Source organism: Homo sapiens, chromosome 2 (genome assembly GCF_000001405.40).
Source record: "Homo sapiens chromosome 2, GRCh38.p14 Primary Assembly".
NCBI classification, from domain to species: Eukaryota; Metazoa; Chordata; class Mammalia; order Primates; family Hominidae; genus Homo; species Homo sapiens.
Window position 1 is genome coordinate 159582917 of NC_000002.12, and position 12705 is coordinate 159595621.

The 12705-nt window shown below is 38.0% G+C and overlaps 1 protein-coding gene across 19 annotated transcripts in view, besides 1 other annotated feature; it reads right to left on the reverse strand.

The window, feature by feature from the left end:
* The window catches only part of BAZ2B (bromodomain adjacent to zinc finger domain 2B), a 397131-nt gene that overhangs the window by 267605 nt on the left and 116821 nt on the right, over window positions 1-12705 (reverse strand). Inside the window, exon 6 of one of the 19 annotated variants that reach the window (XM_017003920.2) lies at window positions 8406-8513. The exons of the other annotated variants lie outside the window; for them this stretch is intronic. The gene's annotated coding sequence lies outside the window, so the exon portion shown is untranslated. The remainder of the gene's footprint in view (window positions 1-8405; window positions 8514-12705) is intronic. 19 annotated transcript variants of the gene reach the window in all.
* Window positions 9170-9339: an enhancer, noted in NCBI's record as "experimental_53833 CRE fragment used in MPRA reporter constructs". NCBI's record gives its function as "activates a minimal promoter by MPRAs in K562 erythroleukemia cells, with activity observed for the non-introgressed 2:160448682 variant allele {active_cell/tissue: K562}" and the evidence as "EXISTENCE:reporter gene assay evidence [ECO:0000049][PMID:34662402]".

Genomic DNA, 12705 nt, shown 5'->3' on the forward strand with positions numbered 1-12705 from the left:
AATTTGCCTATTTTGTTTATGAATTGCCTACAGTTTTATAAGGATTTTGAAAGCTAACTCAACAAAAAATAATGTGTATAATTATATAGAATACATAGCAATACAAAATACTTATACATATAAGTAAAAAAAATTCCAATGCATATTTGTGTTATTTTACCTGTAAAAAATATGAAATATATTCTTTTTTCTTTTCTTTTTTTTTTTTTTTTGTTGAGACGGAGTCTCACTCCTGTTGCCCAGGCTGGAGTACAGTGGCGCGATCTCAGCTCACTGCAACCTCTGCCTCCCAGGTTCAAGTGATTCTTCTGCCTAAGCCTCCCAAGTAGCTGGGATTACAGGTGCCAGCCAGCACACCCAGCTAATTTTTGTATTTTTAGTAGAGACAGGGTTTCGCCATGTTGGCCAGGCTGATCTAGAGCTCCTGAGCTCAGGTGATCTGCCTGCCTCAGCCTCCCAAAGTGCTGGGATTACAGGTGTGAGCCACCACATCCAGCTATGAAATATATTCTTTCATAAATTGAGCAAACATCATGCAAGTCATGTATGTTTACCGCTTATGAAACAGACTGCAGGAGTCACAGCACTTGCCAATCAAGAAGCTTACAGTCAAGTGGAACAAACATAAGTAAATCAATTATTATAGTACAATGGCATTCATTCATTCCATAAAAACGTATGTAGTGCCTACTGTGTACCAGATATTGTCTAGATGCTACTCATTTGTGAACAAAAAGAAAAAAAAATTCTTGCCTTCTTCATGGGGAGAGACAGATAACAAAAATATAAATAAAAAAACATTTATAGCATATTTGAAGGCCATAAGTATATGGGGTGGAAATAAAGCAGAAAAAGAGAGAGTACAGGGCAGACGGTTTATTTTTGTTAGTGTTAAGGTAAAGAGTCATGTGGAAGTGTACATCTGAGCAATGGTTTGAAGGATGTTAAGAACAAGCTATAAGGTTATTTGAAGGAATAGCAAATACAAATAGCTTGAGGGAAGAATGTGTCTGATAAGTATACAAGAAACAACAAGAAGGTTAGTGTAGCTGGCCCAGAGTGAAGAAGAAGTGTATTAAGAAATAGGGGAGAGGTAAAATGCTGCGAGGAAGATCATGTATTGTAGGGTCTTGTAAAGACTCTTGCACTGTAAGATCATTGTAAAGTCATGGTGGGGTGTGAACACAGGAGGGATGTAATCTGATTTAGGGTTTTTTTTTTTTTGAGATGGAGTCTTGCTTTATTGCCAGGCTGGAATGCAGCAGCACGATCTCGACTCACTGCATCCTCCATGTCCCAGGTTCAAGCGATTCTCCTGCCTTAGCCTCCCGAGTAGCTGGGACTACAAGCATGTGCCACCACACCGGGCTAATTTTTGTATTTTTAGCAGAGACGCGGTTTCACCATGTTGGCCAAGATGGTCTCCATCTCTTGACCTCATGATCCTACCCACTCGGCCTTCCAAAGTGCTGGGATTACAGGCGTGAGCCACTGTGCCCAGCCTGATTTAGGTTTTAAGAGGATCACTTTGGTTGCTATGTTGATAATAGACTCTTGGGAGTAGGAGCAGAAGCCCTAGAAGGCTACTACAAATATCCAAGAAATGATTGTAACCTGGGCCATAGAACAGTGAAGGTGATGAAAAGTGGTGAGAATTCAAATATACTTTCAAAGTAGAGTCAACACAATTTGTTGACGCCTTATAAGTGGGATATGAGAGGAGTTAAGATACAGAAAAGAAGAGTCAAGAATGTAGACAAGAAAGGAGTCAAGGATGACAGGACATGGTTTAGATCTGTGTCCTCACCAAATCTCATGCTGAAATGTAATCTCCAGTATTAAAAGTGGAGCCTGGTGGGAGGTGATTGGATCATAGGGGTGGACTTCTCATGAATGGCTTAGAACCATACCCTTGGTATTGTTGTTGCAATAGTGAGTTCTTGGGAGATCTAGTCATTTAAAAGTGTATAGCACCTGGCCCTCTCTCGCTTGCTCCTGCTTTTCACTATGTGATGTGCCTTCTCCCCCTTTGCCTGCTGTCATGATTGGGAGCTTCCTGAAACCTCCCCAGAAGCAGATGCCACTATACTTCCTGTACAGCCTGCAGAACCATAAGCCACTTAAACCTCTTTTCTTATAAATTACCCAGTCTCAAGTATTTCTTTAAAACAGTGCAAGAGCAGACTAATAAAATAGCGTTTTCTTGGTATGTGCAGTAAGAATGAGTTGTCACTAAGATGGGGAAGACTGTTACAGGGATAGACTTGGAGTGGTAAAGTCAAACTTTTGACACTGAACATGTTAAATTTAAGATGCTTCGTCAGTGTGCAGGTAGAGAAGTCAAGAAGACAAGAAGACAATTGGCTGTAAGAGTAAAGTGGCTTGCTCCACTTCAAAGAATGTGATAGGAAACTTCTATTTTAGGGATATAGTTGCAAAAAATACAATGATTTACAATTAGGGGATCCATCTTCACAGATTAAATATTGTCTGGCCCTCAACAGACACATAAAAAAATATGGCAAATGAATGTGAAAACTGTATTAAATGTTTACATTTATATGCATATGTATTTTTTATAATTTCCTGTTTTGACCTTTTTGATTAAATGAATAGCTATCAAATCCAACTGGATTGGATAAGAAGTCTGTTGCTGTACATTTTGCAAATAATGGTTAAAAGCCATTTTTAAATATGTTAAGTATTCATACTAGAAATATTCTAAATATAATGGTTAACAGACTTCTACTTTCTCCTTAATTGTCTATTTCTGATACCCAGAATTATTTAATAAAATCAGTTAGGTATTTCCTATGTGTTAGTTTTATAACTGTAATATAGTGATGCCTTCATTCAATGACTAGGACTTTGTCCCTATGCTAAATGGTGCCAGCCAGACTGCTTTCAAGTTTTTCAGTTTCCTCTCTTATTAGAAGGCTTGTCAGCTGTGACCTGCTTGCTGCCTAAATGCTTACTTAAAGCTAATCTTTTCAACTTTATTGGCTTAAATAAATGACTTTTTTCTTTACATGTCTACTTATGCCAAATTTTTGGCAAAAGTCACCTTTACATTGCTAACTCAGAAACTTTAAGTATGAGTAAGGCAGATTTCATACTCAGAATCTGAATGTACAAGTCAGTCATTTTATATGTGCTTAGAAGTAGATTATTGTTTTTACACTAATTATTTTACAACATCAGCTTTAACTTTAAAATTTCACGTTAAACCTAAGAACCCATTGCTATTTACTATTAATTTATTGATAATCTATACGTTGTGGTAATTATATTACAATTATAATTTTTTATATCTGACACAGCAAAAAAGAATTTGCGAGGATCTCAAGACTAAAAGTTATTACTTAACCCTTGAAAATGTCTGTTTTATTTTGTGACCCAAACAGTTTTGTTTTGATTTTTTGTAGGGAAAGTGCTAGGCTATAGATACAAACCTGCTGAACAAAAATAAATAAATCATCTACACAGAATTCAGAATTTTTCTTATAAATTACTACTAACCTTGCTACCAAGCTACCTTAAAAGTGTTACCAATTTTCAGTTGAACCAGTTTATCAACTTCAGGCTTCTAAGTTTCCTACTGAAGAAAAAAAAATTTAAGGAAGACCAATAATTATTACCTTTGTTCTGTATACACTGATATAAATGAATTATTTATCTTGAACATTAAAAGACTTAAATCCTAGCACTTTGGGAGGCTGAGGCAGGAGGACTGCTTGAGACTAGGAGTTCAAGAACAACCTGAGCAACAAAATGAGATCCTGTCCCTACTTAAAAATAATATAAAACATTTTTTAAAAACTAAAGAATAACTAAAAACATATTGAAAAATTAAAATTATTCCATATAGAATATACTTAGGCTTGCATAATATAAACTCTAAAACTAAAAAATAAATTGATGTATAAAAGCTAAAATTTAGATTTTCCACTTACAGTTTGATCTTACAAGATCTTACAAGTCTGAAGAGTTCACTACCTAAGAAATAAAATTTCTCTCCTCCCTCAAGTACATCTTCCAGAATGCCAATAGACATACCTTCCTAAAACCTAAACCTCACTAAACCTAATCATGTCTCTTCCCCTTTTTAACAACTTAATGTAAAAATGGGAGAAAAAAGCTTTAATAATATCCTATCACCTGCAACTTTTTTTTTTTTTTTGAGACGGAGTATGGCTCTGTAGCCCAGGCTGGAGTGCAGTGGCGCAATCTCGGCTCACTGCAAGCTCCACCTCCCGGGTTCACGCCATTCTCCTGCCTCAGCCTCCTGAGTAGCTGGGACTACAGGCGCCTGCCACCACGCCTGGCTAATTTTTTTTGTATTTTTAGTAGAGATGGGGTTTCACCGTGTTAGCCAGGACGGTCTCCATCTCCTGACCTCGTGATCCGCCCACCTCAGCCTCCCAAAGCGCTGGGATTACAGGCACGAGCCACCACGCTCGACGCAACTTTCTTAATTGCCTATCTAAACCTCACCTTCCAATGTTATTTGCTAGCACTTCCTGCAATACCTGAACTTTAAGCCTGCCTGTCCTTTCCCACTTTTTACATCTGGACATACTTCAATTCACTCATCAAAAATTCACTGAAATCTAAACTTTTTAACCAGCTAATATTTACTGACTAAATTACCAAGTTTAAGGCCCAGTGCTGTGTTGTAAATATGTAACTCTTAAGATGCAGTCCTTGCCCTCAAAGTTTAACAATCTGGTGAAATTCTCCCTAAAACCTTACCCCTCTCAGGGCTACCTTTTACATTAAATCTAATTCTCCGGATGTACTTATCATACTATATAGTAATTATTTACATGACTGTTTTCCCCTACTAGTCTGCGAACAGAAAGAAAAGTAACCACGTTATTCATCTCTGTAGTTCCAGCACCTAGCAAAATGAATTACCAATAGTAGTTGCTCAATGCTGCAATGAATTGTATACAATATATCAAGAGCAAAAACAAAAAATAACAAAAAAAGGCCAGGAGCAGTGGGTAATGCCTGTTAATACCAACACTTTGGGAGGCCAGTGTGAGCGTACCGCTTGAGCCCTGGAGTGTTAAGATCAGCCTGGGCAACATAGTTGAGACCCGGTCTCTACTAAAAATTACACAAATTGGCCGAACACGGTGGCATGTGTCTGTAGTCCCAGCTACTCGGGAGGCTAAGGCAGAAGGATAGCTTGAGTCTAGAGTTTGAGGCTGCAGTGAGCTACGATTGTACCACTGCACTTCAGCGATTGTACCACTGCACTTCAGCCTGGGTGACAGACCAAGACCCTGCATCAAAAAAAAAAAAAAAAAACCCCTGCTTGCCAAATGAAACAAAATGTGACAACACCTTACCATTATATAACCATATTTAAATGAGCCTTCATTTTCATCTACAATATAAGATATATTTATGAATTAATGGTGAATCATCTCAACCAACAATAACTCCAAAATAGGCTGGGTATAGTGGTTCATGCCTGTAATCTCAACACTTTGGGAGATCAAGGTGAGAGAATCACTTGAGCCCAGGAGTTGGAGGCTGCAGTGGGCTATGATTGGTCACTGCACTCCAGCCTAGGCAACAGAGTAAGATCTACACACACACACACCCCTCTTAAATATGACCATAGTCCATTATTTCCCCAATAAAGACAATTCTTTACTGGGGAGGGTCCATCCCAAACTTTGCAGATGTTTAGCACTGCTGGCCCTGCAGACTCAATGTCAATAGCTCGGTTTAGTCATTATGACAAACCAAAACATACAACACATTGAAAATGCTCCCTAGGTGAATAAGCAGCCCCTGAGGTGAGAACCATTGCTTAGCTTTGTGGCTCTTTTTGACTTTATTTACAAATAAATCATATATTCCATAGAGAATGCTCGCCATGCATCTCTAAAACAAAAACAAAATGTAAGTAAAATTAAAATTGTAGTATGAAATTATTTCCTCAAATACTGGGAACACATTTTATATAGTCAGCCACTCTACCTTAGGGAGATATACATAAGCAAAAAGACTAAAGGCAGGCTGAAGCAGTAAGGACGAGAAAGAAAATATGGCATCTAAAGTCTACATGCAGATGCCAGAATTAAACAAACTAATTTCTTCAAAAGTAGGATATTCAAGATGATCTTTTAAAATGTGGGAAGAAATCATAAAGAATCTAACTTTTATTAAGAGAACGAGAAAAATTTGCTAACTACTAATATTTAACACATGGATGAAGACTGCTGCCACTCATAGGATTGAATATTAGGCTTTTTATGGCAAGCTACCTGGCAGGAAGAGTGTGAATTCCACATTGTAGAGGAGCTCACAGTGGTATCCTTACTCACACTGCTCAGAATCATAATTTATGGGTCTACAATGAAGTAGATTTATAAATTATACCATTCTAAGCCAACTTTCATAAAAAATGAGGGGGCTTTAAAAAGATTCCTTCCAAAAAAAAAACATAGATTAAACATAATACTAGTTAACAGAATCACAAGAAATAACACAAAATGCCAAAGCTGATGCTTTTGCTGCTAGTTATCAGCCACACTGTGAGGAAAAAATGATGATCTCAGCCAAAAAAATAACTATAAATTTAAGAAGAAACTATTTGAGTTACAGTATTTATTATTGTTAACAATCGCCTTAGTTTCTAATTCACTTTGAGAAACTGGCTAATAAGAATATAAAGCATTCACAATTAGCAAAATATCTTAAGACACTGTTTATATAATCTTTATCTCATCCTATTTCATTTATATTTATTAGTGTATATCTGACATAAAATACTAGGATATTAGTAAATGTATATAATCCATAAACAAATATACATATACTGGTGATCCATGCTCCAAAACATTTTTACTGATTGGAAACACAAAATAGTTCTAAGACCATCAACATATAAGACAGGAGTCTAAAATAATGTAGTCTAAGAAGAATTTCCCAAACCTTTAAGTCAACCAGATTTAAGGATACCCAGCAAGGCCGGGCCCGATGGTTCACGCCTGTGATCCCAGCACTTTGGCAGGCCGAGGCAGGCAGATCATTTGAGATCAGGAGTTTGAGACCAGCCTGGCCAATGTGGTGAAACCCCATCTCTACTGAAAATACAAAAATTAGCCAGCCATGCTGGCAGGCGCCTGTAATCCCAGCAACTTGGGAGGCTAAGGCAGGAGAATCGCTTGAACCTGGGAGGCAGAGGCTGCAGTGAGCCAAGATCATGCCACTGTATTCCAGCCTGGGAAACAAGAGCAAGACTCCATCTCAAAAAAAAAAAAAAAAAAAAAAAAAAAAAAAAAAAAAAAAAAAACAACCCAGCAAGAACTGGCTATTGTTAATCTTCCACTCAAAAAAAAAAAAAAAAAAGTAAAAATGCCTCAAAAATAGGCCAGGTACAGTGGCTCACGCCTGTAATCCTAGCACTTTGGGAGGCCAAGGTGGGTGGATCACCTGAGGTCAAGAGTTCAAGGCCAGCCTGGCCAGCATGGTGAAACCCTGTCTCTACTAAAAATACAAAAAATTAGCCAGGCGTGATAGTGGGCGCCTATAATCTCAGCTACTAGAGAGGCTGAGGTAGGAGAATTGCTTGAACCCGGGGGGGTGGAGGTTGCAGTGAGCCAAGATCGTGCCACTTCACTCCAGCCTAGGAGAAAGAACAAAACTCCGACTCAAAATAAATAAATAAATAAATAGATAGATAGATAGCTTGGATATAAGAATTAAAAAATTTTAAGGCAACAATCAGTGAAAAGACGCTTTAACTCAGGGTCCTAAAGCAAAATAATTCCAAAAAGGTGTGCTAGTCCCTAATTGCAAAGATGGGGGTGGGCACGGTAGAATGGAAAGAAGCAAATTTTTAGCAATCTCTAGTAGTTCTTCTATTTACAGTCTGGACTTTATCAGATTTATTTACATTTCAAGAGGAAAATAAGAAGTGTAAAACAGCACTTTTAAAAGGCTTCTAACTAGCCTTTAGGAATCATTTTTACATTTAAAATTTTTATTTTTTAAACATTTCTTGAGTTGATAAACATATAACATTAAATATGCTTACATTTAATAGTATTTTAAAGCATTCTTATCAGAGTATAAGATCTACATCTCTGTTTCTAGGTTCACTTAAGTAGTATCTGTGAAAACATTTTGTCCACAGTGGGCTGACATGAAATAATATCAAATCTCATTGCCTAAAACTTTTGTAGATGTTACTACCTATGAATAAAAATCACATTATAAACATTTAAAAGTATAACCATTACACAGAAATGAACAGTTCTTTTCCAACTATTAAGAAAGCTCTTTCCTAAAAGCTTTCTAGGCAAATGAACAACTCTGAAGCAAATGAAAATTAAGTTCCAGACTCTTTTTTTCTGATCAACAGGCTTCCATTACACACTTACTTCCATTAAAACAGGAGTTGTAATGGGACATGGTAACTACAGGTGAAGAGTTATCTCATTCATTTCAGTTGCTGGGTTTCTTGCCAGTTCCCCAGTCTACTTCTGTTTCTATGGCAACAAAGGTAGGATAAGGAAAACAGAAGGAACACTTTAAGATAACAGCTAAGTGGGGAAAGTCAAAGTATTGAATGGCATATACAGTAATTTAATTTTAAGAAAATAATCTAAAATATAAAAAGAAGGAAATTGCAGTTCATACAACCTTAAAAATACTCAAAGGGAGGACCTTGCCATTCCAATATTTTTTCCTTGATTGTTTTCATGAAAACATATTTAACTTTTACTGATAACTTTTCTAGAAATTTGATTCCACTCCTACTATGGGTGGCCCAAAACTCAAAAAAACAGAAACCAGAAATCACCAAATGTCCAGATTCATTTTCCAGCAAAAATCACAGTACTTTAAGTAATGCTTTTTTAAAAATATTCTATCACATTTTGTGATCCTAGTTAGGAATTTACTTTAAACTCTTTCTTTAAAATAATTGATTCTAACATGGCCCTTTAAGCTAAGCAAAGCAGCTACATTCAAGCTTTAGACGAGGCTGGGCAGCAAGGCAAGACGCTATCTCTACAAAAATTTTTAAAAGCAGCCAGGCATGATGGTGGGTGCCTGTATTCCCAGCTACTCAAGAGGTTGAGGCGTGAGGATCTGTTGAGCCTGGGAGGTTGAGGCTGCAGTGAGTCATGGGTGCACCACCAAACTCCAGCCTGGGCAACAGAGTGAGACCTGTCTCAAACAAACAAAAAAACAAAGAAAAAGAAAAAAAAAAGAAATAAACCCATCTGTTAATATGAATCTTTCATATAGATATACTGCATATCAATAAATTACATATAACGTGTCTAGAATAGAAGTTTCTTCCGTAGATTTACTAAGTAATTCTGGGATCATGTTAAGTCTGTAAATATTCAGTATCATGAATTTTATTTATTTATTTATTTATTTTTAGAGACAGGGTCTTGCTATATTGCCCAGGCTGGTCTTGAACTCCTAGGCTCAAGCCATTCTCCTGCCTCAGCTTCCCAGTGCTGGGATTACAGGCGTGAGCCACTGCACGTGGCCCAATATCATGACTTTAACAGATCTTTTAAACTGCTTGTTCTTTTTCAAGTTGCTCTATGTTCAAATTATCTTCTTTCCTCTTTCACAACATTCTCATTCTAAAAAGAGACTCTGTCTCTCTCTCAACTCTCACCCACTCACTTTGGTGGAAGCAAGCTGCCATGTCAGACACAGCACCATGGAAATGACCATGTGATCAAGAACTAAGTCCTCCCACCAACAGAACAGGGACAAGGAAAAAAGGCGTGCCAAGAACTATATGAGCTTGGAAGCAGATCTTCTAGCCCCAGTTGAGCCTTGCAATGACTGCTGCCCCAACTGACAGCGTGACAGCCACCTCTTGAGAGATCTTAAGCCAAAACCACCTAACTAAGCCACTACGAGATTCCTGAACTACAGAAACTCCAATAACAAATATGTTTTACCCTGTTAAGTTTTGAAATATTTACTAAACAGAATTAGATAAATTGATAAAGTATCTTATTCATCTCTTTATTCCCTCTCACCCCAACACTGAGTTCCTTGCCTGGAGAAGATACTTAGCAAATAAATGATGAAGCAAAGCCTTAAGATTTGTGATGCAGTTTGGCCAAAACTCATGCCAAATGGGCTTACTCTACTGCTAAGGGAAACAAAAATTTAAGCCCCCAACTCCATATGAAAACTAAAGTAATAAAAAGAAAATACATGTTCACTTAATAAAACATATGATATGCTAATCTGTACCATCAGAGAACAAAGAGTATGTCCAAAATCTATATTTCCACCTTTAAATCTATCATTATTTTCCTCAGTGATCATGCAAACTTTGACCAAATCTCTGTATTTTATCTTTGTAGAATCTGGAATGTACTTCTATGTATTCCATCAGTTGAAATCTTACCCCTCTTAGGATAATGTTCCTGCGAGGAAAAATTATGGAAGACTTTAACAAAGGGAAAAAAAAGATTATGTCCTATCTAGGGCATCATACCAAGTTATCTGTCCCTTTCACTATCCTTTTTGTTTTGGGGGTTGTTTTTTGTGGTAAAATACACATACCAGTAGTCCCCACTTATCCACATTTTCACTGTGAGGCTTCAGTTACGAGCAGTTGGCCAACGTCCAAAAATATTAAAATGAAAATTTTAGGAATCAACAATTCACAAGTTTTAAATTGTGTGCCATTTTGAGTGGCATGATGAAATTTCATGCCTTCCCCCTCAAACCTGCCTGGGACACAAATCATCCCTTTGTCCAGCATATCTACTCTATAAACGCTACCTGCCTGTTAGTCACCTAATAGTTGTCTAGTTATTAGATTGACAAAACATAGTCATCCACTGGGGGTTAGGCAGCATCCACTGAGTGTCTTGGAACGTATCTCCTCGGGGACAAGGCAGGGACTACTGTAATATAAAATTTGCCATTTTTGCCAGTTTTTTAAAAAGCCTACATTCTCCTATCCAAGTACTAACCAGGCCTGTCCCTGCTTTGTTTTAGAAATTAGAGATCGAGCACATACTTTAACCATTTTTAAGTGTACAATTAGCTGGCATTAAGTTCATTCACAATACTGTGCAACCTCCACCACTATCCATTTCCAGGCCTTTCAATTCTCTTTGAACTAAATTCTCAGACAATAAAAACACTGAACTTCTAATATTCTGCATGTGCATTAAAAAACAAAAAGTCGGCCGGGCGCGGTGGCTCACTCCTGTAATCCCAGCACTTTGGGAGGCCGAGGCGGGCGGCCTACCTTGTGGTCAGGGGATCGAGACCATACTGGCTAACACGGTGAAACCCCGTCTCTACTAAAAATACAAAAAAATCAGCCAGGCGTGGTAGCGGGAGCCTGTAGTCCCAGCTACTCCGGAGGCTAAGGCAGGAGAATGGCATGAACCCGGGAGGCGGAGCTTGCAGTGAGCTGAGATCGCGCCACCGCGCTCCAGCCTGGGCAACAGAGCGAGACTCCGTCTCAAAAAAAAAAAGTAATTAGAAAAACTAAGTATTTTAGTTTTTAATCTTAAGAACCCAAGTTTACAAAAGAAAGGTAAATCTTTGGCAAATGGGACTAATTTAATACATTCTAATTTTAAAAATTTATGGCTTTAACCAATCGGACAAGCTAGCATTAATCCTTAAAGTTTACAACATGAAACAGATAAATTCTCATGTTCAAGTAAATTGAGTCATTATTTTGACAGTTTTTTTTTTTTTCTTGACATGTAATCTTGTTTTGTTGCCCAGGATGGAGTGCAGTGGCGTGATTATGGCTTGCTGCAGCCTCCGCCTCACAGGCTCCAGGGATCCTCCCAGCTCAGTCTCCCAAGCGGCTGGGACTACAGGCGCGTGCCAACATACCCAGTGAATTTTTTGTAGTTTTTGTAGAGACAGGGCTTCACCATGTTGCCCAGGCTGGTCTCAAACTCCTAAGCTCAAGCTGTTTGCCTGCCTTAGCCTCCCAAAGTGCTGGGATTACAGGCCCAAGCCACCGGGCATGGCCCAACAAATTTTTATTTCAACAGTAAGTATATTTTGCAGCATGGCAGCTTGAAGATAATTTTCAAATCTTTAGGTAGCCTAAAACCTTGGACTGATATTAAATAATTATTCAATGCGTAATAACTTCTAAGCAAAATACTGAAACATTGATTACTATGCATCCTTTTAAACATATACTTTTTTTTTTTTAAACGGAGTTTTGCTCTTGTTGCCCAGGCTGGAGTGCAATGGCATGACCTCGGCTCACCGCAACCTCCGCCTCCTGGGTTCAAGCGATTCTCCTGCCTCATCCTCCTGAGTAGCTGGGATCACAGGCATGCACCACCACACCTGGCTAATTTTGTATTTTTAGTAGAGATGGGGTTTCTCCATGTTGGTCAGGCTGGTCTCAAACTCCTGATCTCAGGTGATCTGCCCACCTCGGCCTCCCAAAGTGCTGGGATTACAGGCTAAACATACACTTTTGTTTCTTGTTTTTATATACTAATGACAAGCTGTTTTAGGTCATGTTAGTGGAAATGTCAATTTTTGCCACTTTAAGAGGCGAAAAAGAGGTATGCGTGCTGTAAAAAGTGGTGTTGTGTGTGCTCATGAATTCTACTAGTCTGCTAAAATGCTGGTATATGACACAGTTCTCAATTATTCACCTCCAACTTTTCTCTGTAAAACAGAAATTAGTCACTTCGACTA